At 35.0% G+C, this 27,732-nt stretch overlaps 1 protein-coding gene across 5 annotated transcripts; it reads left to right on the forward strand.

The window, feature by feature from the left end:
* The first annotated feature begins 6,011 nt into the window (after positions 1-6,011).
* Positions 6,012-14,863, forward strand: ODAM (odontogenic, ameloblast associated). Of its 5 annotated transcripts, NM_017855.4 has the most exons (12): positions 6,012-6,080; positions 6,816-6,881; positions 6,979-7,020; positions 7,561-7,608; positions 8,211-8,444; positions 8,866-8,913; positions 10,784-10,888; positions 11,741-11,788; positions 12,545-12,616; positions 13,043-13,204; positions 13,443-13,501; positions 14,462-14,863. In NM_017855.4, the coding sequence occupies exons 2-11, from the start codon at positions 6,831-6,833 to the stop codon at positions 13,470-13,472; spliced, it is 840 nt and encodes a 279-aa protein (NP_060325.3). In that variant the 5' UTR covers positions 6,012-6,080; positions 6,816-6,830; the 3' UTR covers positions 13,473-13,501; positions 14,462-14,863. The 5 variants fall into 5 exon arrangements, with proteins under 5 accessions (NP_060325.3, NP_001372508.1, XP_047271820.1 ...); NM_001385579.1 differs by lacking the exon at positions 11,741-11,788; XM_047415864.1 differs by lacking the exon at positions 6,979-7,020.
* The last annotated feature ends 12,869 nt before the right edge of the window (positions 14,864-27,732 follow it).

Below are 27,732 nucleotides of genomic sequence, written 5' to 3' on the forward strand. Positions count from 1 at the left end.
TGAGTTTCTTAAGGCTTTTGGAGGAACAGAAATAGTGTAGCTCAGTACTTCTGTCTTTAAAAAGTCCTAACAATCCAAGACAAACCTCAGAAAATCCAGAAATTGGGAGGTCCTGATTATTACAGAATGTATGTCAGGGATTATAGTAGGTTGGTACAAAAGTAATTGCAGTTATTGCAATTGAAAGTAATATTCAAGAAACCTGGGGAATCTTCAACAAATGATGAGAAAGAATGTTTAATCAAGAGAGTCATAAAGTTTATTTAATATATCCTAAAAGTGCATGGAAAAAAATTATCCAATGTCTTGGTTATGTGAAAACCTACAGAGTATGGTGTTGAAACAGATATTTTCTTTGGAAACAGACCTGTGTTCAAATCTGAGTTCTATTACTAGAGAACTGTGCTACCTCAGGAAAATAACCTCTCTGAGTCTCAGTTTCCTCAATGTATGCTGACAATGATATTTTGCATATGCTTAGGATCAATTCAGAAAATGTATATAGAAAAGATAGCCAAGAATCTGATGTATGGCACTAAACATGTGCTAGATTCACATATCTCTAAATATTTACACCCCCCACCCCACCAGATAAATTACGGTTTTAGTACCATTACATTACATAAGAAAGATCATGTGGCCCTGGTGGGAGTATTCACGCTATAAAAACTGGGAGATGGTATAAATCGAGGCCCCCTTTTTCGGCAGAGATCTGTTTTATCACACTCCACTGCCTAAAGGATAGAATTTGAGAATAGAGGCATTGGTGAAAGCAAGGGGATTCTCCTGAACAACATTTTGAAGTTAATAGTTTAGATTTTTTCAAGAATATTTTATAATTAAAATTTCAAAAAGAAAACGAATATATCAGTATGAAATGGTGACACATGCTTTGCAGAGAACTTAAACAGGGTAGTATGATAGAAGCAGCTGCCCTAGATTGAGTAATCTGGGAACATTCTTCTGTGGAGTGATACCTAAAATGAGATATAAATTATAAGAATCCACCAGCCCCTCACTAATTGGAGGCAGCGCATTCCAGGCATAGGGAACAGCAGGTGAAAAGGCCTTAAAGAGCAATGCATTTAACATATTCAAAACTCAGAATGAAAGCTAGTGAGGTTGCAGCTTAGTGAATAAGGAGAAGAATGAGAAGTCATGAAGTGGAAGAATAAAGCAAAGGCCAGATCACTGAGGACTTTGTAAACCAGGTTTAAAAAAAAAAAAAGTGTCTGTTCATGTCCTTCACCCACTTTTTGATGGGGTTGTTTGTTTTTTTCTTGTAAATTTGTTTGAGTTCATTGTAGATTCTGGATATTAGCCCTTTGTCAGATGAGTAGGTTGCGAAAATTTTCTCCCATTTTGTAGGTTGCCTGTTCACTCTGATGGTAGTTTCTTTTGCTGTGCAGAAGCTCTTTAGTTTAATTAGATCCCATTTGTCAATTTTGTCTTTTGTTGCCATTGCTTTTGGTGTTTTAGACATGAAGTCCTTCCCCATGCCTATGTCCTGAATGGTAATGCCTAGGTTTTCTTCTAGGGTAAGAGGAAAATAATTGAAATAGGAGATAAGGGGAGAAGGAGGAGAAAAAGGAAGAGAAGCAAATGGAAAAAGGGAAGGAGAAAGGAGTGGAGAATAAGAAAGAAAGACAAGATAGCAATTTTTTTGTTTTTTGTTTGTTTGTTTTTTGTTTGTATTTTTAGTAGAGAAGGGGTTTCACCAGACAAGATAGCAATTTTTTTGTTTTTTGTTTGTTTGTTTTTGGTTTTTTTATAGCAAATTTTTTGAAGAGTAGAATAAAATACATTGCTATCAGAAAGCATAACATCTTATCAAGGAGATAAACTTTTAATGCAACAAAATGGAAAAAGATTATCACCAGAAGTCTGAGGGAGAACTAAGGCAGACTGGGCAATGTATTACTCCCCTTGACTAGGACATTCATAAGAGAGTCCCCTCACCACACCACAGGCTTTGCTAAATGTTTGGGAAGGAGGAGAAAGCCTGATATTGGCCAAACATTGTGGACTTCCTCCCTCATGACATCAATCATAGGCAAGTTACCAGAACCATAAAATTTTGTTTAAAATTGAGTTGTTTAATGACGTGTTTTGTTTCTCCAAAAAGTTGTAGTACAAAAACTGGGTTAAGGCCAAACTGATTGCAGGCCCCAAACAAAGAAACAGATGCAGGAGTCATTAAAATGGTAAGGATGGAATTCACAAAGCAAAAGGCAAAATAAATACTATAGAGGTTTAGTACAGAAAGAAACTCTTTCAGGTCAAGGGACAAAAGAAATTACTTTCAGAGAAAGTGGATGTTGATTTACACCCAGGCTAGAACAAGCTGTATTTGAGAGACATGTCTCCCATTGCATACTTGACTTGCCACACTTCAGGGAATCGCTGAAAGTTGACCATTTCTAGCCCAAACTTAGCTGTGTGCTGGCCTCTCTCAACTACTCTGAAACTTATGAATTCCTTCTTATGAAAGGAAGAGGTATATTCTTTTATTTTTCTTAACACCTTTATATCTAAGCCAACACTCCTGGAAATTATAGCCATAATTCACATACACATACCTACAAATCTTAAATATAATAAAATAGACTCACCTCATCAAGCTAGAGTTACTAAGCTAGGACATACTGTCATAGTGGACATGGGATGATTAGTATCCAATAATGTACAATATCAAATAGAAGGGATTACTTTAGTAAAGTCTCATGGTAGTTAACAGAAAACACCCAATGTAATAGAAGAGATTTAGTTGACAGCTTGCTGATTCTCTGTATTTACTGCTCGAGTTATAATTTTTTTGTTAATTGTCTTTATTATGGTACTATGTCTTTCTCCTCTCTAGTTAGGCATCTGGGTGCTTTGAGATAGAACTACATAATTGAGAATCAAAAGACCTGAATTCTAGCCACAAGTCTGGTACCTTCTGAAAGTGTGAAAAAAACTGTAATGTCCATGAAGGTAAAAACTATTTGTATTAACATTAGCACTAAGTTCTGAATGCCTAGCAAGGATATGGACTATAGAAGTTGTGCAACAACTATTTCTTGTATAAATAAACTAATTCATTAATGAATGAAGTCACTGAACCTTCTGTACTTCAGTTTTCTCGTTGAAGCATGAGGGTGATATATACATATCTTGCCTACCTTGATATATCATTAGAAGTCCCTGGGAAATTACAGCTCAGGTGGAAGAAAATTATTTTAAGAAGCGATAAAATTTAAATTCAGTTGTCATGATCCACAGAACATTGCTCTGCTTTACAATGGCACTCTGTTAAGCCTTGATTGATTTTTCAGGATAGTTGAAGGAAAAGAGAGCAGGGATAACATTTTGAAAGCACTAATTTACAAACCACTGTTGTTTACTTTTCATCATCTATGTTACTGGAACAGAACAAAGATATAGATGGTACATAATTCAACAGTCATGTGTACTTGGCATTAGAATATGTTTTTGTACTTTTATTTGAATGGAGGGTTGTCTGGTGTTCTGGTAATTGAACTAAACCAAAATAATGAAGTTATAATGATGACATCAGGTTCCGGATTTCCTCATCTTAGGTCCCTGCAACTTAATCCATACAGACTCACATTGCTCTGGAATTAGACCACCTTTTTTTCTTCCCTGAATGAAGAAACCATTTATTTAACAAAACTTAGGGGAATACCTATTTTGTGACTGACACAGGAATAGATAATGAGTATATTCAACCTAGTTGAATGGAAGAAACAGACATATACAATATCCACACTACAACGTGATGAAAACTAGAGTCCCTTGCTACTTCCCCTCCTAGCTAGAGATAACTTTGCCTCCAATGACACAGGTTCTTGAAAGCTATCAGATAATAAAGCATAGCCTGTTCTTTTTCACTTCAACTGCTGAATAACTGGAGAGTTTCAATTGCTTTTCTTTAAATACTCAGGTAATGAAAAATAAAAACAAAAAGAACGCAATGACGGAAGTCTTCCAATTGTCTCCAGAGTTGAGGAATATAGTTAGATAAACAATTCACCATCAGAATAATTTTTAAATTGACTGTGTTTTTCACTCTATAATCCAGTTGCTGACCTTTCCAGTGCTTGGTCTTGACAATTTTCTGGCTCAGTAGTGGGGTTAGCTGGCTAAGACCCTGCAGCCTGCAATAGAAAATAGTCTCTCAAGAGAATGAGAGCTTATGGCGTATTTAATTTGACAATATTCAGAATAGACCAAAGTCATTAATTGTAAATATATATCATCATGCAATACAGAACCTTCCTCCTAGTTCACTCATTCAACAAATCTACTGCATTTTCCAGGCAACAATTGGTTACATTAACGACCTTTATGTTTAAGCTTTAGTTAAATCTGCCATTAACATCTAGGGTTGTCTAATTTTTTAGTTAATCTAAGAAGACCACTATCACAAATCTCAGGAAAGTTACTTTTGCTAAAAGAAAAACTTTCAGCAAATTAAATTTAACAGAATTTAATTGAGTAAAGAATGATTTGCAAATCAGGCAGCCTGGAATAAAAATACATTCAGAGTGACTCCGGAGCTGCCACGTGGTCAAATAACATTTATGGACAGAAAAGGAAAACGGTGTACAGAAAATGGAAATGAATTACAGAAACAGTGAGTTGGTACCCGTTGCAGCTCTGCAATTGCCTTATTTGAACACATTTGAACAGTTGGCTGCTTGTGATTGGCTGTCACTCAGCTTCTTGTTAAAACAGTAGGTTACAGTTTGTTTAACATCATTAGGTTACAGTTCACTATTATAAGAAATCTTTAGGTCAAACTTAAAATATGTATGGAGGCAGCTTTAGGCTAAACGTAATTCAATTTAATACTTTCTAATAGATATAAAGTCCTACTGGTGGGTTTTCTTCTTTAGTAAAGAAAAATGTCTTTTTATTCTAACTAATGATTTATGTACTTGGATTTTTTGACCAGATAAATAACAAATAGTATAATTATTTTAGTATTAATGAGCCATGCAAGCTCTGTCTCATTCTACCAAAAAAGACAAATGTATTAAAAGGCAATAATTTTGTTTTCCTGCATAAGACTATCATGAGTTGCTCAAGATTAAGTTAGCTAAAAAGAACTCTTCCATAATAAAAATTAATTGATAATACATTGTCAAAACACTTGTGATCCTGAACTATTAGAGGGGAGTCGATATTAACAACAAAAAAACTACAAATAAACACAAAACTCCCATTATGAAGGAAATTTAAATAATAACAATGTGCAGAGAGTAATAGTTGTATTTTGAATATTAAAATATATAACAAAAACATTTTTCAATAAAAACATGTATTCACGGCTATTTTTTAAAATGTAGGATATCATGCTTTATACTTATTAAATTATTTATTTCAAGCAACATGATCATATACAAATACATTTCATAGACACATGGAAATTTAGCAATTTTTTAAGGACTGCATTCAGTAAGTAGAGGGAGAATAACTGATGTTTTCAAGGTCAAATCTAAAGGAAACTAGCCCACATTTACTTAGCCCAGCATTGAGGAAGCAAAGAATTCTGCTAAGTAGGCTTTGAAGTTTTGCTTTTCAGACCTATGATTCCTAACAATTCTGTATTTCGCCCTTGAAGTAAAAATAATCACCCATTTATCCTTGACTTTATTAAAGATATTAACTTTTATTCAGTTACAGTATCCAGTTTTATTCAATTAGAGTATCCAGTTTAAGAATTATAAAAGAGTAGAATAGAATTATTCTAGGAGAATTATTCTAGGAGAATTACTCATAACCAAACCAGAAGCCAGAAATGATCACAGGAAAACATTTCTCAGGGGATAATTTAATAACATTACTAAAAGTGTGGGAATCCATATACCACCTAAATGATTAGGAAAGAGGTTATTAGCTAAGCCATTGTCTGAAACCCACTGAATCACTGGTCCTTTTTGAACAATGATTGGTCCTTTTTTTCTAAAGATGAGTTTTAAAATTTAAGAGAAGTGCCAAGCAGTAGAGCTGAGAGAGGAAAAGAACACAGATCTCGCATGGTTCAGATTTTTCTTTTTAGGTCCAGGAGTAAGGTAAGATATCAAATCTTTGCTTTTATAGTTTGAAGAACCAAAATCAGTGAAATCTGCAGGATAGACTATCAAGTTCACCCTAAATGCTTGATTAGGTCAATGATTTGAAGCAGGGAAAAAAGTTTCACATCTAGAAGACAAGAGAAATATACTTAAACAGGTTACACCATAAATCAATATCACAGTTCAGTTTTATAATCTATTGCCATAAATTACAAAAACATTGACTCAGTTGCTTAGTTCTAGTATATTATTCTGTTATTAGACTACTAAGTGGAAATTATCTGGTATTGGACTGGTATTGTCAAATCTCTATTGAAGTACTTTTCAACATAGACATTAAAATTGCTGCAGTAATAAGTCCCTAGTTGGTTAGCCTTAGTCATGACCTCCCATGGTCTGATGGGCCTGCTCCTCTCCTTGTAGGGCAGCACTAGGAGGAGATCATCTTGTTCTTTAATGCATTCAACCACATCATATGTCTCCAAATGAGTATTTTGTTCAAGCTAAAAGGACAAGCAAACAATCTTGGTTTTTATAAACAGCTTGTCTGAGAGAAAATAAAGAGTTATATCAGAAATTTACAAACATAACTTTTTAAATTTTAAATTGCAAAATGTAAGTAAATACTATAGAATTCACCCAGCTATTCCTTTGATTGAACAATACTAATTATTTTGTCATGAATTTTAAGTAATGTCTTTATAAAGCTAAAGATCACAACTTATTTTCTAGATATATCATACGAAAATGAAAATTATAATTCTTCTTGGATTCCTGGGAGCCACATTGTCAGCCCCAGTAAGTGATTTTATGGCACTACTAGTCCCACTGTGTTAAACCTTCAACAATCCCTTCTTTTTACTATTTCTGATTTTTTTTTCATTTTTACTTTTAGCTTATCCCACAGCGTCTCATGTCTGCCAGCAATAGCAATGAGGTTAGTTTAAATAATTAAAACAATCTCCTCCTTTTTTTAATGGAAATCAAGTGGGAAGAGATAGAAGTCGTCATTTAATTTATACTGTGTTCCTCACCACTAGCTTTTATGTATATCCAAGCACATTTCTAATGTCCATGTTTGATTATATAACAGGTTACCTCTAAAATATTATTCTGCTTCCCTTGATTGATTGTTAATTCTTCAAAGGCGGATACAATATTGTTTATATCTTTTTGTTCTAATAACACCTCACACAGGTGTATATAGGTGTTTAAAAACATAAAATGACTAAACCACTGGAATGTGCTAACGTTGTGCAATCTCATACCCAACAGAGGAGAGGTTGTTAAATCCCAACCTTGTTTTAAATCTAACTTCTAATCACTGTAATTTAATGTAAGCCTAGTGAGAAAATGTCCCACTTCTAACAAGAAATTGAGCAACCAGCTATGACTTGTGCTATATTTGCAGTAAACATTGTTCCTACTCATTTTAGTGTGTAGTAATCTTGATTTCATATTATTTTTCTTTTTCTAGTTACTTCTTAATCTTAATAATGGTCAACTTTTGCCACTACAACTTCAGGTACCTCCATTTCAATAATTACTTTATGGGGAATATTTACCTATTGCTCATTTATGTTATTTTGTAAGAAAACAAAATGTTTCCTGATCCTATTTTGGAAATCTCAGTTTTTAACATTATGAATTTGTCTCATATGTTCTAGTGGCCATTTGCTTGAAGATTAAAGTAAAAACTGTAATTTGAACAACACTTATTTATTGAGAACTTGGTATATGCCAGGCACTAATTCTCACAACTATGAGATAGTTAAAAGTAATTATTTTACAAAAAGTCATGCCCAGTTAACCAGTAACAGCAGGTTGGCAGGTTTAGGGTTAAGGTAGGGGAAAATACAGACGGTTTAAAACCAGTGTGGCATATGCAGATGTTGGGCTCTTTTATCAACCTTATCCTGCCCCATATTTCTCATGGCCATCGGGAATTTAGCATTTGCTTCGTATTATTTGCTTGGTTCAAAATGAATCAAGATGCTGTCCTTTTTTATGTTGCAACATTGGAACTATAGAAATTGTTTGTATTTTGCCTCTTTCTTGCTCAGGACTAATTTTTAAATTCTTTTTGGCATGAAGGGAACATGCTTTCTTTCCTTTGTGTCTTTTTAGGGCCCACTTAATTCATGGATTCCACCTTTCTCTGGAATTTTACAACAGCAGCAGCAGGCTCAAATTCCAGGACTCTCCCAGTTCTCTTTATCAGCTCTAGACCAGTTTGCTGGACTGCTCCCAAATCAGATACCCTTAACAGGAGAGGCCAGTTTTGCCCAAGGAGCCCAGGCAGGCCAAGTTGATCCCTTACAGCTTCAAACACCGCCTCAGACACAACCAGGCCCCAGTCACGTAAGTCAGGCCTCTTTCATTTTGTTCTGAGGAGAGAGAACTGCATGTTTAATCTGACAATGAATATGAATCAGCTTTGAAATAGGCAGGGGTTTTTGAACAATATTTTTTCTCATTATATGTTTCTACCATCGCTGTAAGTTCTTTCTTTTATTTTCTGATTTCTAAGACAAAAAATATTTAAATCAGCTACTCTAGGATACAGCAACAAGCCAAAAAAGTTAAAAACAAGTCTAGGATAAGATAGGAAAACTTCAATAATAGGCAGTTTATGTCAGCACATGTAACGGATGACTTTTTGTTGTGGAAACTTGTTAACACAAAGGATAAATTTATATGGCTAGCTCTAGGAAAAGCAGCTCAGGGATTTTTAAATAACAAAGTCAAGCATACATTTTTATATAATTCTTTTTTTTGGCAGGTGATGCCCTATGTATTCTCCTTCAAAATGCCTCAAGAGCAAGGACAGGTAAATGGATATAACAACACTGCCCATAGAGATGGCTACATACACTCTCCACAATGCTTTCTATTTCTAGCTCTGACTCCTATAGCAGGGCTATAAAAACCTATATAATGATATCACTGTCTAGATAACATCATTGCTGGGCTAGTATCAGTTTGTTGATGTTGGGCTCACTTAACAACTCCTTAAGGACAGGCAGCTAAGTAGAGTCTCCAGGACCCCTGAATTTCCAGGGCATTGCTATGTTGAGAGTAAAAGAGCTCAGTAAGCCCCAGGTCATGTCCTCTCTGCATCCAAAGTGCTGGAAGTTGGGAAAAACTCAAGAGAAATACCATGGGCTGACTTTATCCAAATTTAAATTTTGCTTCAGAAGGAGATGCACTAAGCTGATAATATATGATATGATGTAGAGATAAGAAACACTTGCCCATGTTATTTGGCTGTTATGAAATTCTGCTCAAAACATTTTAAGCTTCTTATACATTTCCAATTTGAATCCATATTACAATCAAATGGTAATTTTTTCCATTAAATAGGATAATCTTTTAAAAATGAATGCAAACTAGTATAATCATCATATTAATATGGAAAACCCTATAAATATCAGGATTATTAATTTTACAATATTCTGGGTTCAAAGAAACAGTATTATAAATAAATTATATTACTCATCACAGAATATTGGCCTTTTCATAAAAAGTTACAGCATTTGACTCTACTGTAATTATAACTAAATAACTTTGTCCCACATCCACTCCCATTATAAAACAAAAGTTACTTCTAGACATTATCTCATTCTATGACATAAGCATTTAAAGAATTAGATGTATAACTAGAATTACTTCATCTTAAGAATCAAGAAACCTAGTCTTAATGAGATCAAATTCCTCATCCCATTGAAAGTAAATAGCTGAGTTGGAATATAATTCTCCACCCCTTCTGTCTCCTTTAACCATGAAACCAGTAGCTCTCCATCCTGGCTTTACATTAGAATCTCTGGTGTTTGAAAATTACAGACGTCTGAACCCTACCCCAGTGAATCAATACCCCATGAATAGATGTTAAGTTTGGTCATCTTCTAAAATGCTCAAATGTGAGTTTGATTCTTAGCCAGGATTAAGAATGCTTGCACAAAATATAATCCTCCTGAAACCCTAGTTGTTTTTTTTAACTTCATGTCTAATACAATCTCTTACTTTATGCAAATAAAAACAGCATACAAAAATTAACATATGTACTAAGATTCTCATTTTCTATGAACACATACACAAATAAACAGACACAGACATATAAGTAGAAGGCAATGATAATATAAATGGAAGCCACATGGTAATGTAGGTGGGGAAGTTTCAGATGATTTCATTTGTTACTTGTCTATGTCTTGATTTACCAAATATCCTAAAATATATATGGATTATTTTAATAAAGTAGCAATTCTTAAAGGCAATACATTCATAGCATTTCATTTATTATGGCAGAACATCTAATACCACATTCTGCAGAATGATGATTCTCAAAAATATAGGGTAAGTGCTACATAGGCTATCTTTCACTTAGGTATTTGCAAAGTAATTTGTATATAAAGTTTCTAAGATGTCCTTTGAAAAAAAAAAAAAGCTCTTCTGCTTAGTTCAACCCACTATTTCCTAAATGTGTTTGCCCAAGCAACCTTAAAAACCAAGTCCAGTATTACCTGGGATACAAGTTGTTTCCAAAGTTTGGGAAGGGATTCTTCATCTATTTGCTTTGTATTTAATCATATAAAGCTGCTAGACATAAAACAGCTTTTAAATAAAATTGACATTAGAAGATAAAAAGTATGTCCTATGCTGATTTAATGGAATCTCTTGTATCCTTCTCTTTTTACAAGTAGATGTTTCAATACTATCCAGTTTACATGGTCCTACCCTGGGAACAACCTCAGCAAACAGTTCCAAGGTCACCTCAACAAACAAGACAGCAACAGTATGAGGAGCAGGTACTGCAAATGTTTTATTTTAATCCTACTAGTTCCACTTGAAAATAGAGAAAATAAGGTATATTACCATAGAAAAAAAGTTTCTGAGTATATTTAATGCAAACACTCAACAGCATGAAACAGGTAGGCATAAGAGGGTAGGTATAGTGTTCTCGGCTATAAATCATTTGTGTAAACTTATTTGGTAATATTCCAGGGCTGGATTTTTAGCCAATGAAATCAGTAAGTGGACTTCAATAGAATCAAGGCCAAAAAGCTGAATAACCTCGAAAAGTGAAGTTTTCTCACATTTAAAATTTACTAGCATCCACCTTTCCACATATGTGTGTGTGGTTACTATTTAAAAATAATAAATGGCAAAAATATTAGCTACCTTGATGAAAGATATATCTGATCACTGGATTTTGAGATACAATTAGATACCATTATATTAAATTTTGTGAAACTGCAATAAATTTTTAGAATTCTAACATAAATTCAGGTGGCTCATATATTATTAACATCCTTCCTGTTAGAATGAAAATGTCTTTTTTTTAGTTTAATCATAACTCTAAAACCTGGCATTACAAATTAGAGAAAACTCAGAATTATGCTTTAAAAAACTGGTAGTATTAATTCTAATTGTCATGTTGCTTTAAAGGGAAAGAGAGAGTTTTATCCTAGAAATGATATGGTATTAAAAAGATTCTTGTTAATTTAACAATAATTAATTTTTAGTTACTGGAACATATAAACTTTAAAAATGCTTTTAACTTATATAAAAAGATATATAAGTTTAAGTAATCATTTACTGCAAACTTACGACAAGAATAATCACAGAAAATATAATACATTTTTTAAAAAATCTGACAGATACCATTCTATGCTCAATTTGGATACATTCCACAACTAGCAGAACCTGTAAGTAAATGCATATTTTTCATTAAAAATATTTTGAAACTACTTCCTTCATTGTCTACTAAATCTATCAATGCCCTTCAGCCAAAGATGACCAGGAGCGCACCTCTAATTGAACAAAATTGTATGTATCCACTCAGTACAAGGAGGAGAACACACACGTGGGGATTCTTGGGTGTCTTAATAGGAAAGTATTAGAATGACTTCTCACATGATTTGGGCTTCTTTTAGGTAATTTGGGGAAGATTGCAAAGAAGTGGTTGTTCACTCTGCAGTGGCTATTCTCAAAAGTAGGGTAGCTCTATGATTATTTTAAAAGCTCATTTCTCTAAGGCAAGGATAGTGGAGCAAGGTGAAAGCTTTAATGGGTAAAGAAGCATCAGTCGCTCATATTAGCCAAGATGTGAGAACACCTGGTATTTTCGTAACTTGTATGGTGACCTTACTTCAGACAAAATTTTGAAATTGTCTTGTTTTTTCCACCCCTTCTGATGTTGGTGTTCTGTAGAATTCTTTATGCTCAACAGGTAAGTACCTGGTCCTAGTAGAGAATGTTAGAAAGTAGCACTTTCAGAACAGAAGCAGAGGCGAGATGTCAAGCCAGTTCTCTAATAGCAAAAATTAAACTATTATTTCTGTTTTTAGCAAAATAATTTAAGAAGTTTGGGAGTGTTTTACTACTCTGGTACTCTGGGTGGCCAAAGAGCATATTTTCAACGATCACTGATTTAGACTTTTTAAAACTTTTTGTGTTTTTAGGCTATATCAGGAGGACAGCAGCAACTAGCTTTTGATCCCCAACTAGGCACAGCTCCTGAAATTGCTGTGATGGTAAGATTCCTTACAACACTTTGCCAGCTACTGGAAATCAACAATTGACAACTTACTGCACTAATGTTCATTTTAATATCAACTCTGTTGTAATTCCATCAATAATTTTTGCTTCTTCTTCTTCTTACAATATTTTGCCAGTAAAGATTCAGTTCACTCTTACTCAGTTCATCAGTATTTTTAAGTATGCTATGCCAGGTACTCTTTGATGCACCTTTATTTAAAAGCAGATATTAAGAGACAATGTTTGCTGGTATATATTCATGGTCTTTTATGTAGCTTATAATCTAAAAATACTAATAATAGCAACTCTTTTTTTAATATAATGCTTTTGTTACATCTCAATCCTGTTGCTTTACATTCTTCCCAATTTTGGCCTTCTTGTTGAACTTACGACAACTTTGTTTTCATTCTCATTCTCTGTAGTCAACAGGAGAAGAGATACCATATTTACAAAAAGAAGCGATCAACTTTAGACATGACAGTGCAGGAGTTTTCATGCCCTCAACTTCACCAAAACCCAGCACAACCAATGTTTTCACTTCTGCTGTAGACCAAACTATTACCCCAGAGCTCCCAGAAGAGAAGGTAGAGTCATGAAAACTTCACTTTATGCAAAAAAATTGTCTAATGAAAAAATACAGTGATAAAATTAGTGCTTTAATTTATAGGACTTAGTCATGAAATTAAGAAGATAACTAATGAAAAATATGTGGTCTTAACTCTGAATAAGGTGGCCAAAACTTGTTTTTGATAATCAATTAATCAGAATATAATTTAATTTCAATTTAATAACAGTTTCTTATGAATGTCCTTTTCTCACTAGGACAAGACTGACAGCCTAAGGGAACCATAAGAAGTTGCCCTGATCATTCAGACATTTTGGTAGGTATTTGCCAAAGTCAAGAATTAGGTGCCACGACAATTCCTACATAAGAAGACAAAAGAAAAAAGTTGGCAGAGGAGCTAATGGAGTTCTTACCAAAGTAGTTATAAAAACAAGTTAGCTATATATACCTATAAAATTAATAATAATTATGGACTTCAACAATTTTTAAAAACAAAATTAAATTTTGAGAATCATGTCTGCCTATAAGTTTGGTATACTCTCTGAAAACACAAATACTAGATATTCTAGGTCCATTGTAAAAGACATTCTATAGACACTCCATACAGAATCAATTCTCCCAAATCATCATTTCATTTTGCAAGTAAACATTGTAATAATTCCAATATATCTGTATTAGTTTGAAATTAAGTAAAAATCTCAAAATGATAAAGAAATTGTACAATGAAAAGAAAATTTCAAATTCCATGACTTTTATATCAGACATAATCTTGAACTAATTACCTGTTTTAATCAGCTTGGTTGGCTATGAGGCCACAATAGGAGTTTGATAGAAGGGCAGTCTGGGAACAGCACCAAAAAGTAAAAACACACACTGAAAAGCAAACAATTTAACTTGAAGGGCAAACTAAAAGACAAAGTTTTTGAAATCTCCTCCCTGCTGCCTGTGAGCCTCTTTTGATCTCTCCTTCCATAAAAATGAGCACGCAGCATTCTTCAGATGAAAAAAGTTTATAAAAACACAACCAAGTGAACAGTAATAATACCTCTTTAGGAAAGCCTCCTTACTAATGTACTATATTGTACAAGGCAAATCAAGTTATTCAGTAAGAAATACTAAAGAGATTTCAGTATTTTTATGACCTTTTTTCTGTATGTATGAATGCCAGTGAAAGAAAAGCTTTCTATTTCTTTAATAAGCAATTTGTAAGATATCTAGGATGTTTTATGCAAAGCAGTCCAATGATATTAAAATGCTTTTCTATTATATTTTTCAGGGAAAAAGATGTGGCCATGCCTTGGATATAATTTTAGGCTATTAGCTTCCTCAATACTAGTATCAGTTCTTTGGAATACATGAAATATCTTGACTCTTCTCCTAAATTTGTTTTTACTTATACATGTTATTAAACTCTTTAAATATGTCATAGAAAATAATACAATCATGTAATGAGTCTTGTCTTACAAAATTATATGTCTCTTCAAATATCCTATCATTGTATAATATGGAATATAATAACACAGAATAAAGCTAGTATCATTAAATCAATTGGATAATTGCATTAGTAAATGATGCCTCTGCAAAATGGTAGTACCCATGAAGATATGTATATTGTCATTGGATGTATGATGAGTGTTGTGATTGGAACTGATGAAGTAAAATAAGTATCTAGATTTGACATGTCATCTCTTCATTTCCCTAAGGTCCATTTAGTCAGTTTCCTCCTGAGACATTCTCATGACAATCAAAATTATTTGGTGGCAGATATCATAAAGTGCTTATTCCTAATATGACACAGTCACATAGAGAGGTGTCTGTCCTTACTCAAAAGGATAGGAAAGTGTATGCTTGTTTGGGGGAGGCAGCATCCTGTAGAGAATAAGGTGGAGATTTTGGGTTTCATCAGATCTGGCTTTCAATCTAGAATAATTTCTCTAAAATCAGCTTTGCTTACATTTGGTAATTCTCAAAACTTTCCCTACCAACTATTCTCCACTGGATGTTTCCTATCTAAATAAAACAGCATTAGTTCAAGAATAAAATATAGACTAACACAGGAACAGAAAACCAAACACCACGTGTTCTCACTCATAAGTGGGAGTTGAATAATGAGAACACATGGACACAGGGAGGGGAACATCACACACAGGGGCCTGTTGGGGGTGGGAAGCAAGGAGAGGGGAGAGCATTAGGACAAATGCCTAATGCATGTGGGGCTTAAAACTTAGATGACAGGTTGATAGGTGCAGCAAACCACCATGGCACATGTATACTTATGCAAAAAACCTGCATGCTCTGCACATGTATCAGAACTTAAAGTAAAATTTTTAAAAAAGAATGAAGTATAGAATCCATACATGACTTCAACTCCTCCATACATCTATATTCAATCTGTCATCATAGCCTAATAGAGTAATACTTTCAAATGAAGACATTTTAAGTGTGTAGTGTGAAAAATGTATATATCTTGTAACCATCACCCCATTAAGATACAGAACATCTCCAACACCCCATAAACTTCTTTCATACTCTTCTCCAATCAATTTAGTCTCCCCACTCTCATGCCAAGCAACTATTTTCATATTTCAATCAACACATATTAATTTAGCCTATTCTGGGTTTTTATATAAATTAAATCATACATGATGTATTCTTTCATGTCTGGTTTCTTTTATTCAACATAATGCTTTTGTGATTCATTCATGTTATTGCTTAAGTGGTATACCACATTGCATTAATATATGTCATTTTCTTTATCCATTCTCCTATTGTTGAACATTTGAGTTGTTTCCAATTATTGAATATCAGAAATAAAGCTGCAGTGAACATTCTTGTACACTTTTTGTAAACACATGTTTTCATATCTCTTAAGTAAATACCAAGACACAGCTCTAACTCAAAGGATATGTATATGTTATGAGAGACTGCTAAATAGTTTCTAATGTGGCTGTTCCATTTTATACCCTTATTAGGAGTGAATAAGAATTCCAGTTCCTCTCACTTCTGGCCCACAATTATTATAGAATTGTCCTTTCTTAAAATTGTTTTTATAAATTCCTCTTTTGTCACACATCCCTTAAATGTTAACCTTCATACAGGTTGACCTCAGTCCTCTTTTCTCCTCTCTCTCAAAAAATCGCTGCATCGATTTTTTTTAAATTGCTACATGAACATTTCCATTTTGACTTTAATAGGATTTATAAAAAGGTACTGGCTCCTAAATCTGTATCTCAGCATATTTATAGTCTCATCTATTAAATAGTTCTGGATTCCGTGTTTTATTTTAAAATGTTCAAAGAGGCATCTCATGGTTTAAATTTGCATTATCCTGATGACTAATTGTGTTATATTTGTTTCTACACTTATCAGTCATTAGTATAACATGTTTTTTGAAGTGTACTACTGCTACGTATAACTTTTAAATAATTTTTAAAAGAAAAAATATATTTACTTACATATTTACCAATTTCAGTGTTCTTCCTTCCTATACGTCTGAGATTTCATCCACTATAATTTCCCTTTTATATAAAGAAATGTCTCCAAAATTTATTTAGTTTGCATCTGATTGCTATAAATTCCCCCATTTTTATTTATCAAAAAATGCCTTTATTATGCCCACATTTTATAGATATTTTTTAATATAAAATTCTAAGTTGACTGACTTTTTTTCTTTCCACACTTGAAAATTGTTCTAACATTATCTTCTGGCCTCTAATGGTTTCAATAAAAAGTCACCTGCCATTCCTATTGACATTCCCCTGTATGCAGTGTATCTTTTTCTAGAGCTGTTTTTATGACTTTCTCTGTCCCTTTCATGTCCAGCAGTTTGACTCGAGGAGAGTTAAGTGTGGCTGGCTAATTTTGTAGGAATCATATTAGGTGTGCACTTTGCTTTCTGAATCTGCATATTGGTTTTGATAAAAATAGGAAAAGTTTCATCAGTACTTCTTTGACTATTTTTCTGTTTCGTTTTTTTCTCTTCTCTCATTCTTACAACTCCAATTCCATGTATATTGGATTAATTGACACTATTTCTTAGGTCATTGAGCCTTTGTTGATTTATATTTTCTGAGCACTTCAGTTTGAAAATTTCCATTTACCTTCAACTTCACAGATCCTTTCTTCTATTAGAGCCAATCTGCTTCTGCTACTAATATCATCTAATAAATACATCCAGTTTTTTTAAATTTTAAGTTTAGGATTTTTATTTAATTTTTAACAGTTTTCTTATAGTTCCAGAAATTTTCTAACTCATCACTCGATATACTCAGCATATTCCTATCAATCTTCTAGCATGTTTATTCTAGTTGAAGTGTATTTTTTTACTATTATTACACTTTAAGTTCTAGGGTACATGTGCACAACGTGCAGGTTTGATATATAGGTATACATGTGCCACGTTGGTTTGCTGTACCCATCAACTCATCATTTACATTAGGTATTCCTCCTAATGTTATCCCTCCCTCAGCCCCCTACCCCACGACAGGCCCCAGTGTGTGATGTTCCCCACTCTGTGTCCAAGTGATCACATTGTTCAATTCCCACCTATGAGGGAGAACATGTGGTGTTTGGTTTTCTGTTCTTGCAATAGTTTGCTGAAAAAGATGGTTTCCAGCTTCATCCATGTCCCTACAAAGGACATGAACTCATCCTTTTTATGGCTGTATAGTATTCCATGGTGTATATGTGCCACATTTTCTTAATCCAGTCTATCATTGATGGATGTTTGGGTTGGTTCCAAGTCTTTGCTATCGTGAATAGTGCCAAATAAACATACATGTGCATGTGTCTTTATAGTAGCATGATTTAAAATTCTTCGGGTATATACCCAGTAATGGGATTGCTGGGTCAAATGGTAATTCTAGTTCTAGATCCTTGAGGAATCGCCACACTGTCTTACACAATGGTTGAACCAATTTACACTCTCACCAACAGTGTAAAAGCATTCCTATTTCTCCACATCCTCCCCAGCATCTGTTGTTTTCTGACTTGTTAATGATTGCCATTCTAACTGGCATGAGATGATACCGCATTGAGGTTTTGATTTGCATTTCTCTGATGATCAGTGATGATGAGCATTTTTTCATGTGTCTGTTGGCTGCATAGATGTCTTCTTTTGGGAAGTGTCTATTCACACACTTTGCCCACTTTTTGATGGGGTTGTTTGTGTTTTTCTTGTAATTTGTTTGAGTTCTTTGTAGATTCTGGATATTAGCACTTTGTAGGATGGGTAGACTGCAAAAATTTTCTCCCATTCTGTAAGTTGCTTGTTCACTCTGATGGTAGTTTCTTTTGCCGTGCAGAAGCTCTTTAGTTTAATTAGATCCCATTTGTCTATTTTAGCTTTTGTTGCCATTGCTTTTGGTGTTTTAGTCATGAAGTCCTTGCCCATGCCTATGTCCTGAATGGTATTGCCTAGGTTTTCTTCTAGGGTTCTTATGGTTTTAGGTCTAACATGTAAGTCTTTAATCCATCTTGAATTAATTTTGTATAAGGTGTAAGGGAGGGATCCAGTTTCAGTTTTCTACTTATGGCTAGCTAGTTTTCCCAGCACAATTTATTAAATAGGGAATCCTTTCCCCATTTCTCGTTTTTGACAGGTTTGTCAAAGATCAGATGGTTGTAGATGTGTGGCATTATTTCTGAGGCCTCTGTTCTGTTCCATTGGTCTATATCTCTGTTTTGGTACCAGTACCATGCTGTTTTGGTTACTGTAGCCTTATAGTATAAAGTCAGGTAGTGATGCCTCCAGCTTTGTTCTTTTGCTTAGGATTGTCTTGGCAACGCAGGCTCTTTTTTCATTCCATAGGAACTTTAAAGCAGTTTTTTCCAATTCTGTGAAGAAAGTCATTGGTAGCTTGGTGAGGATGGCATTGAATCTATAAATGACCTTGGGCAGTATGGCCATTTTCACGATATTGATTCTTCTTACCCATAAGCATGGAATATGCTTCCATTTGTTTGTGTCTTCTTTTATTTTGTTGAGCAGTGGTTTGTAGTTCTCCTTGAAGAGGTCCTTCACATCCCTTGTAAGTTGGATTCCTAGGTATTTTATTCTATTTGTAGCAATTATGAATGGGCGTTCACTCATGATTTGGCTCTCTGTTTGTCTGTTAATGGTGTATAAGAATGCTTGTGATTTTTGTACATTGATTCTATATCCTGAGACTTTGCTGAAATTGCTTATCAGCTTAAGGAGATTTGGGGCTGAGATGATGGAGTTTTCTAAATATACAATCATGTCATCTGCAAACAGGAACAATTTGACTTCCTCATTTCCTAATTCAATACCCTTTATGTCTTTCTCTTGCCTGATTGCCCTGGCCAAAACTTCCAACACTATGTTGAATAGGAGTGGTGAGAGACGGCATCCTTTTCTTTTGCCGATTTTCAAAGGGAATGCTTCCAGTTTTTACCCATTCAGTATGATATTCTCTGTGAGCTTGTCATAAATAGCTCTTGTTATTTTGAGATACGTTCCATCAATACCTAGTTTATTGAGTTTTTAGCATGAAGGGCTGTTGAATTTTGTTGAAGGCCTTTTCTGCATCTATTGAGATAATCATTTGGTTTTTGTCATTGGTTCTGTTTATGTGATGGATTACATTTATTGATTTTCATATGTTGAACCAGCCTTGCATCCCAGGAATGAAGCCCACTTGATCGTGGTGGATAAGCTTTTTCATGTGCTGCTAGATTTGGTTTGCCACTATTTTACTGAGGTTTTTTGCATCGATGTTCATCAGGGATATTGGTCTAAAATTCTCTTTTTTTGTTGTGTCTTTGCCAGACTTTGGTATCAGAATGATGCTGGCTTCATAAAATGAGTTAGGGAGGGTTCCCACTTTTTCTATTGATTGGAAGGAATGGTACCAGCTCCTCTTTGTACCTCTGGTAGAATTCGGTTGTGAATCCATCTGCTCCTGGACTTTTTTTGGTTAGTAGGCTGTTAATTATTGCCTCAATTTCAGAGCCTGTTGTTGGTCTATTCAGAGATTCAACTTCTTCCTGGTTTAGTCTTGGGAGAGTGTATGTGTCGAGGAATTTATCCTTTTCTTCTAGATTTTCTAGTTTATTTGCGTAGAGGTGTTTATAGCATTCTGTGATGGTAGATTGTATTTCTGTGAGATCGGTGGTGATATCCCTTTATCATTTTTTATTGCGTCTATTTGATTCTTCTCTTTTTTCTTCTTTATTAGTCTTGCTGGAAGTCTATCAATTTTGTTGATCTTTTCAAAAACCAGCTCCTGGATTCATTACTTTTTTGAAGAGTTTTTTTAAGTGTCTATCTCTTTCAGTTCTGCTCTGATCTTAGTTATTTCTTGCCTTCTGCTAGCTTTTGAATTTGTTTGCTCTTGCTTCTCTACTTCCTTTAATTTTGATGTTAGGGTCCTGATTTTAGATCTTTCCTGCTTTCTCTTGTGGGGATTTAGTGCTATAAATTTCCCTCTACACACTGCTTTAAATGTGTCCCAGAGATTCTGGTACGTTGTGTCTTTTTTCTCATTGGTTTCAAAGAACATCCTTATTTCTGCCTTCATTTCGTTATTTACCCAGTAGTCATTCAGGAGCAAGTTGTTCAGTTTCCACATAGTTGTGTGGTTTTGAGTGAGTTTCTTAATCCTGAGTTCTAATTTGATTGTACTGTGGTCTGAGAGACAGTTTGTTATAATTTCTGTTCTTTTACATTTGCTGAGGAGTGCTTTACTTCCAATTATGTGGTCAATTTTAGAATAAGTGTGATGTGGTGCTGAGAAGAATGTATATTCTGTTGATTTGGGGTGGAGAGTTCTGTAGATGTCTATTAGGTCTGTTTGGTGCAGAGCTGAGTTGAGGTCCCGTATATCCTTGTTAATTTTATGTCTCATTGATCTGTCTAATATTGACAGTGGGGTGTTAAAGTCTCCCATTATTATTGTGTGGGAGTCTAAGTCTCTTTGTAGGTCTCTAAGGACTTGCTTTATGAATCAGGATGCTCCTGTATTGGGTGCATATATATTTAGGATAGTTAGTTCTTCTTATTGAATTGATCCCTTTATCATTATATAATGGCCTTCTTTGTCTCTTTTGATCTTTGTTGGTTTAAAGTCTGTTTTATCAGAGACTAGAATTGCAACTCCTGCTTTTCTTTGCTTTCCATTTGCTTGGTAGATCTTCCTCCATCCCTTTATTTTGAGCCTATGTGTGTCTCTGCATGTGAGATGGGTCTCCTGAATACAGCACACTGACAGGTCTTGACTCTTTATCCAATTTGCCAGTCTGTGTCTTTTAATTGGGGTATTTAGCCCATTTACATTTAAGGTTAATATTGTTATGTGTTAATTTGATCCTGTCATTATGATGTTCACTGGTTATTCTGCCCATTAATTGATGCAGTTTCTTCATAGCATCAATGGTCTTTACAATTGGGCATGTTTTTACACTGGCTGGTACTGCTTCTTTCTTTCCATGTTTAGTGCATCCTTCAGGAGCTCTTTAAAGCAGGCCTGGTGGTGACAAAAATCTCTCAGCATTTGCTTGCCTGTAAAGGATTTTATTTCTCCTTCACTTATGAAGCTTAGTTTGGCTGGATATGAAATTCTGGGTTGAAAATTCTTTTCTTTAAGAGTGCTGAATATTGGCCCCCACTCTCTTCTGACTTGTAGTGTTTCTGCTGAGAGACCTGTTGTTAGTCTGATGGGCTTCCCTTTGTGGGTAACTTGACCTTTCTCTCTGGCTGCCCTTAACACTTTTTCCTTCATTTCAACTTTGGTGAATCTGACAATTATGTGTCTTGGGGTTGCTCTTCTCTAGGAGTATCTTTGAGGTGTTCTCTGTATTTCCTGAATTTGAATGTTGGCCTACGTCTCTAGGTTGAGGAAGTTCTCCTCAATAATACCCTGAAAAGTGTTTTCCAACTTGGTTCCATTCTCCCCATCACTTTCAGGTACACCAATCAGATATAGATTTGGTCTTTTCACATAGTCCCATATTTCTTGGAGGCTTTATTCATTTATTTTTACTCTTTTTTCTCTAACCTTGTCTCCTCACTTTTTTCATTCATTTGATCTTCAATCACTGATACCCTTTCTTCCACTTGATCAAATCGGCTATTGAAGCTTGTGCGTGCATCACAAAGTTCTCGTGCCATGGTTTTCAGCTCCATCAGGTCATTTAAGGTCTTGTCTACACTGTTTATTCCAGTTAGCCATTCATCTAATCTTTTCTCTAGGTTTTTAGCTTCTTTGTGATGGGTTCAAACATCCTCCTTTAGCTCGGAGAAGTTTGTTATTACCTGAAGTTGTTATCTTCTGAAGCCTACTCTGTCAACTTGTCAAAGCCATTCTCCATCCAGCTTTGTTCCATTGCTGGAAAGGAGCTGCAATCCTTTGGAGGAGAAGAGGCACTCTGATTTTTAGAATTTTCACCTTTTCTGCTCTGGTTTCTCCCCATCTTTGTGGTTTTATCTACCTTTGGTCTTTGATGATGGTGACCTACAGATGGGGTTTTGGTGTGGATTTCCTTTTTGTTGATGTTGATGCTATTCCTTTATGTTTGTTAGTTTTCCTTCTAACAGTCAGGTCCCTCAGTTGCAGGTCTGTTGGAGTTGGCTGTAGGTCCACTCCAGACCCTGTTTGCCTGGGTATCATCAGTGGAGGCTGCAGAACAGCAAATGTTGCAGATCAGCAAATATTACTGCCTGATCGTTCCTCTGGAAGCTTTGTCCCAGAGGGGCAGCCACCTATATGAGGTGTCTGTCAGCCCCTACTAGGAGGTGTCTCCCAGTTAGGTTACACAGGGGTCAGGGACCCACTTGAGGAGGCAGTCTGTCTGGTCTCAGAGCTCATATGCCGTGCTGGGAGAACCACTGCTCTCTTCAGAGCTGTCAGACAGGGATCTTTAAGTCTGCAGAAGTTGTCTGCTGCCTTTTGTTCAGCTATGCCCTGCCCACACAGGTAGATTCTAGAGGCAGTAGGCCTTGTTGAGCTGCAGTGGGCTCCACCCAGTTCAAGCTTCCCGGTGCTTTGTTTACCTACTCAAGCCTCAGCAATGGCGGACACCCCTCCCCCAGCCAGACTGCCTCGCAGAGCAATCTCAGACTGCTGTGCTAGCAGTTAGCTAGGCTCAGTGGGCATGGGACCCACTGAACCAGGCACAGGAGATAATCATCTTGTCTGCCGGTTGCTAAGACCTTGAGAAAAGCACAGTATTTGGGCAGGGAATGTCCTGTTTTTCCAGCTAGTCTGTTACAGCTTCCCTTCACTAGGAAAGGGAAATCCCCAGACCCCTTGCACTTCCAGGTGAGGTGACGCCCCGCCCTGCTTCAGCTCATGCTCCGTGGGCTGCACCCACTGTCCAACCAGTCCCAATGAGAAGAATCAGGTACCTCAGTTGGAAATGCAGAAATCACCTGTCTTCTGCATTGATCACACTGGATGCTGCAAACCGGAGCTCTTCCTATTCAGCCATCTTGGAACTGAAACCTAGTTGAAGTTTTTATCTGCTGATTTCAATATGTAGGTTGTCTGTGAATCTATAGTGACTGATTTTGCTCTCAAGTATAGGTCACATTCACTTGCTTCTGTCATATGTGTACGGTTTTTGTTTTGTTTTAGTTTTGCTTTGCACTGTATGCTTGACTTTGTAAATGATAAGATAGAAAGCCTGCATTCTGTCATCTTCATCTGAAGAGTGTTGCATTGCTCATATTGATCTTGTAAAGGTTTGTTTTTTGTTTTGTTTTGTATTATCTTTTAAAAAAAATTCGTATATTTTTAAGTGGCATAAGACCAGTTTTGCTACATCGATATATTTGTAGTGATAAGTCTGGATGTTTAGTGTAACTATCACCCAAATAAGGTACAGTATGCCCCTTCAATCAGTTCTCACCCTTCGCCCCCTCCCACAATCCCACTTTCCTGAGTATTATTCCGTATTCTATGTCCACGTGTACACACTATTTAGCTTCCACTAATAAGTGAGGACATGTGGTATTTCATTTTCTGTTTCTGTATCCAACTGAATAACCCATTTAGAAGTTTGATGGTACATCAAACCCAACCTATTCAAAACCTAACTTACTATTTCTCCCTCTTAATATGCTCCTCACTTTTATTTAATCCCTCACCTGATGATTATCAATCACTCAGTTATCCAAGCAATCGATCTAAGACTCATCCTATTTTTTTCTTATGCCTTCTCTTCCACATCAAATGGTCATTTACTTTTTCCTTCTTGTAATGCCCTGGAATAAATCTCTTCCACTTCTTTGTCTTTTCCTTAGTTTAGTTTCTCATTCTCTCCTAAAGTGTTACAGTAGCCTCCTATTTAGAGTCCCTGTCCCCAGTATTTTTCCACTGCAAGCTATCTTCCTCAGTCACCCTATATTGGTCTTTAAAGTGGCTTTCAAAGATTTAAAAACAAAAGCCACAGTAAAAAAAAAATGCATTATATACCATAAATCAGTCTGCACACACACACACACACACACACAAACACACACACAAAACTGAGACAAGGGTTTAATAAAATAAGTTTTACCTTGTTTACATGAGGAACATACTGAAATTTGCAATTTTACTTCAGATATGTTCTATTTTAATCTAGTTTTTTACATGTCTTTCATTCTATTCTAATTTATATCTCTTAAATTCTATTAGTGACCCACAAAATTCATTTCTCAATGGAAAGAGAAGGATTTAAATAGTGGCAGAATACTAACAATCTAGAAAATGAAATGAAATGCTCAGTGTATTATTCTTACTCATTTGAAAGTTTAAAATATTTCAAAATGAAATATTGGGGAAAATTATTTTACTGAAACATTTTCTTCCTCATTGGCTTATAAGCACCATTAGGGCAAAGATGATGATTTTAAATTCTTAGGTGTTGGATACCTAGCATAATTATTGCCCTACAAAAGGTAATCAATAAACATTTGTTTTTCAAAGAATATGCATTCACTAGTTCCTAATATACTTGGAAAAACAAGAAAGAATTGTGTTTTGAAAGGAATAAGAAGATCAGAGGACTCTAATCTAGAAAAAGAAAGGCAAATTTGTATGAACAATTGAAAGTTTTTATAATGGAGTTCACCGAACAACTGCTCAATACTTTCCATTGCTATTGTTTCTAATTTTGCACCAATGGATAAAAATATGACAATATGAAAATATTTATCCCAGAATTTCGTATGAAAAGCATTCTTTTTCAGTTACATAAAAAAATAGTTACAATTTTCAGAAATTAAGCCTGATCCTTATCCATGTGCAAACATGTAGGCAAATCATGAGACTTAGTTTTCATACCTTTGGTGTATAACTAAAGACATTTAAAATATTTAGTTTAATATGTTGACTCCATAATATTAAATGTTGTGTTGTGAACATTGCAGATAGTAAATAATTGTCAGCTGTGTTGAAGGAATATTCCTCTCTTAGCCACGTGTTTATCTTCAAAGAAAATAAAAATTGGTAGTTTTTCAAGACAATCTGCCTTTACAGATTATTTTAAAAGTGAATTTGAGTAATTTAGGAAGAGAATAAACAGTTTTCATTGAACAGTCTCTAGTTATTAGTTACACTTGAAATGCCTTTTGTGGTTCATTTTCAAGGTGAAGCTGTCAACTCTGGATTTGTGGAAGGTTTGTATTATTTTTCTTCAGAAAAGTACTCTGATAGAAAAACCCAACAAAAATAAGCTATACATTTCTTATGCTGGTACGTATTTCCTGTATAGAACTGGATTCTAGTGAGCACTTTTTGCTTTCTTGATCTTTGGCTCCCATTTGTGTTGGCTCATAGGTAGTTCTGATGAAGCCAGGAGGTTGTTGCCTAAATCTGAGACTATCCTGTTACTAAAGTTCTAGCCACCACGAGGCAGTAGGAATAATGAAGTCAAGGATGGATAGCTCCAAGCTAAATGAGTTAGGAAGAACTGTAGATTTCACTGATGAGACTGTGTTTAGATATTTAAATCTTCCTCTTTATTAGTTGTAAGTGGACAAATCAGGCTTTCTGAGTTTCAATTTTCATCTGTAAAGGGAATTGTCTCTGGAATTGAGAATAAAATGAAATGAAATGTATAAAAGCACTAATCATGTGTCTAACATCATTAATGGTGGTTTCAGCAGCATCAGAGGCATTGGTTCAGGATATCCTTTAAGTGTAGCTTTGAGTAGATCAGACTTCTTGCTGCCACCCATTTTCAGGGGTCCTCAGATACTTAGGTTCCCTGGCTAATCTAAAGGTATATGAAAGCCACTTAAGTAGTAATTGGAATAAGATAGGGGATTAATATGTTAATTAAATCTGAATATAAGTAGGCAAATTCTGAAACCAAGCAGTATCAGGTAGGAGTAATTATTCTTTCTAGTTGGCCATATGGTTATGTGACCTCCACACAACCTCCAAGTATTGTCTAACAAGCTGTAATCTTGGCTTAATTTATGCAGTAGAAGCTGGGGTTGCTTTCTTGTGTGAATCTTAATTCAATTGGCAAGAATGCAAAATATAGAAAAGACTAACAATGTAAAAGTTACAGCTACAAAAATCCCCTCTGCAAATTCTTCAGCACATGATTGTCCTTAAAAGCAAGGGCAATTGAAGGAACAGCAACCAGGATGTTTTACTGGAAAGAAAAGTTGTGAGTGGTTTCATAGGAAAGAGGTCGGACATGCCATATGAAAAAAGTCATAGGTTTATTTGGGGTATTCAGACAGAAGAAGTAAAAACTAATTTATCAAGGTATTAAATTATAAGAAAAAACTTTTGAAAGAACAAAAACACCATCTATGCAGATATTCAAGGAGTGGATAGATGACCAGAGGCTGAATTATAGCAGAGGGGATTTTTGTGTAGTCATTGGAATTTATTAAATGAACTCTCTGTGATTTGCCTTTCAACCATAATATTCTCAGACTGGGTGTTACAGGGATGAGAATTATCTACTGGAAGAGATTAAGCAACTTACTAAATACAAAGGCGCCATTATCATTAAAGGATTAGACATTAGTATTAGGGAAATGCCCACTATGGGAAGCCTTAGCAGTGGACTAACTCACTATTACATCAATAAAAGAGCAGAAATATTTTATTTCACGTCTTTTGGCTTAGAGTTTGCAAAAATTAAAAATATGCATACCTTTTAGGCAATCCTCCTTCTCTGCTGTGAACTGGAAACTGTGATAAATGATCTGACCTTTACCAGGCTCACATATATGTCAACACTAAGGAGCAATTTTTAATTTTAAAAAGTCTTTGAGAGACTTTCTAAGAGAATAAACACAAAATAATCCATGAATTCTTATTCCATACTCTATGTCCATGTGTACACATTACTTAGCTTCTACTAATAAGTGAGGACATGTGGTATGTCATTTTCTGTTTCTGAGTTGCTTCACTTAAGAAAATGCCCTGCAGTTTATTTTACTTATTCATATTCTTATTTAACTTTTACCCTTAGTGCTAAGGCAAAACTCAATTCTATCAACATGGTGTTTGCAGTTACAAGGTTGCTTTTCTGGTAAAAAAAAAAAAAAAAAAAAAAAAACAGTGATGTTAATCAGGT

This window comes from Homo sapiens, chromosome 4, assembly GCF_000001405.40.
Source record: "Homo sapiens chromosome 4, GRCh38.p14 Primary Assembly".
In the NCBI taxonomy this organism is placed as follows: domain Eukaryota; kingdom Metazoa; phylum Chordata; class Mammalia; order Primates; family Hominidae; genus Homo; species Homo sapiens.

What these genes read in the sequence shown, in the direction of transcription:
- ODAM (XM_047415863.1), top strand. Translation starts at nt 6,045, where the DNA reads ATGGTTCAGATTTTTCTTTTTAGGTCCAGGAGTAAG. An exon ending in GAGCCACATTGTCAGCCCCA is followed by an intron (nt 6,882 to 6,978) that starts GTAAGTGATTTT and finishes TTTTACTTTTAG; the next exon opens with CTTATCCCACAGCGTCTCAT. An exon ending in TTTTGCCACTACAACTTCAG is followed by an intron (nt 7,609 to 8,210) that starts GTACCTCCATTT and finishes GTGTCTTTTTAG; the next exon opens with GGCCCACTTAATTCATGGAT.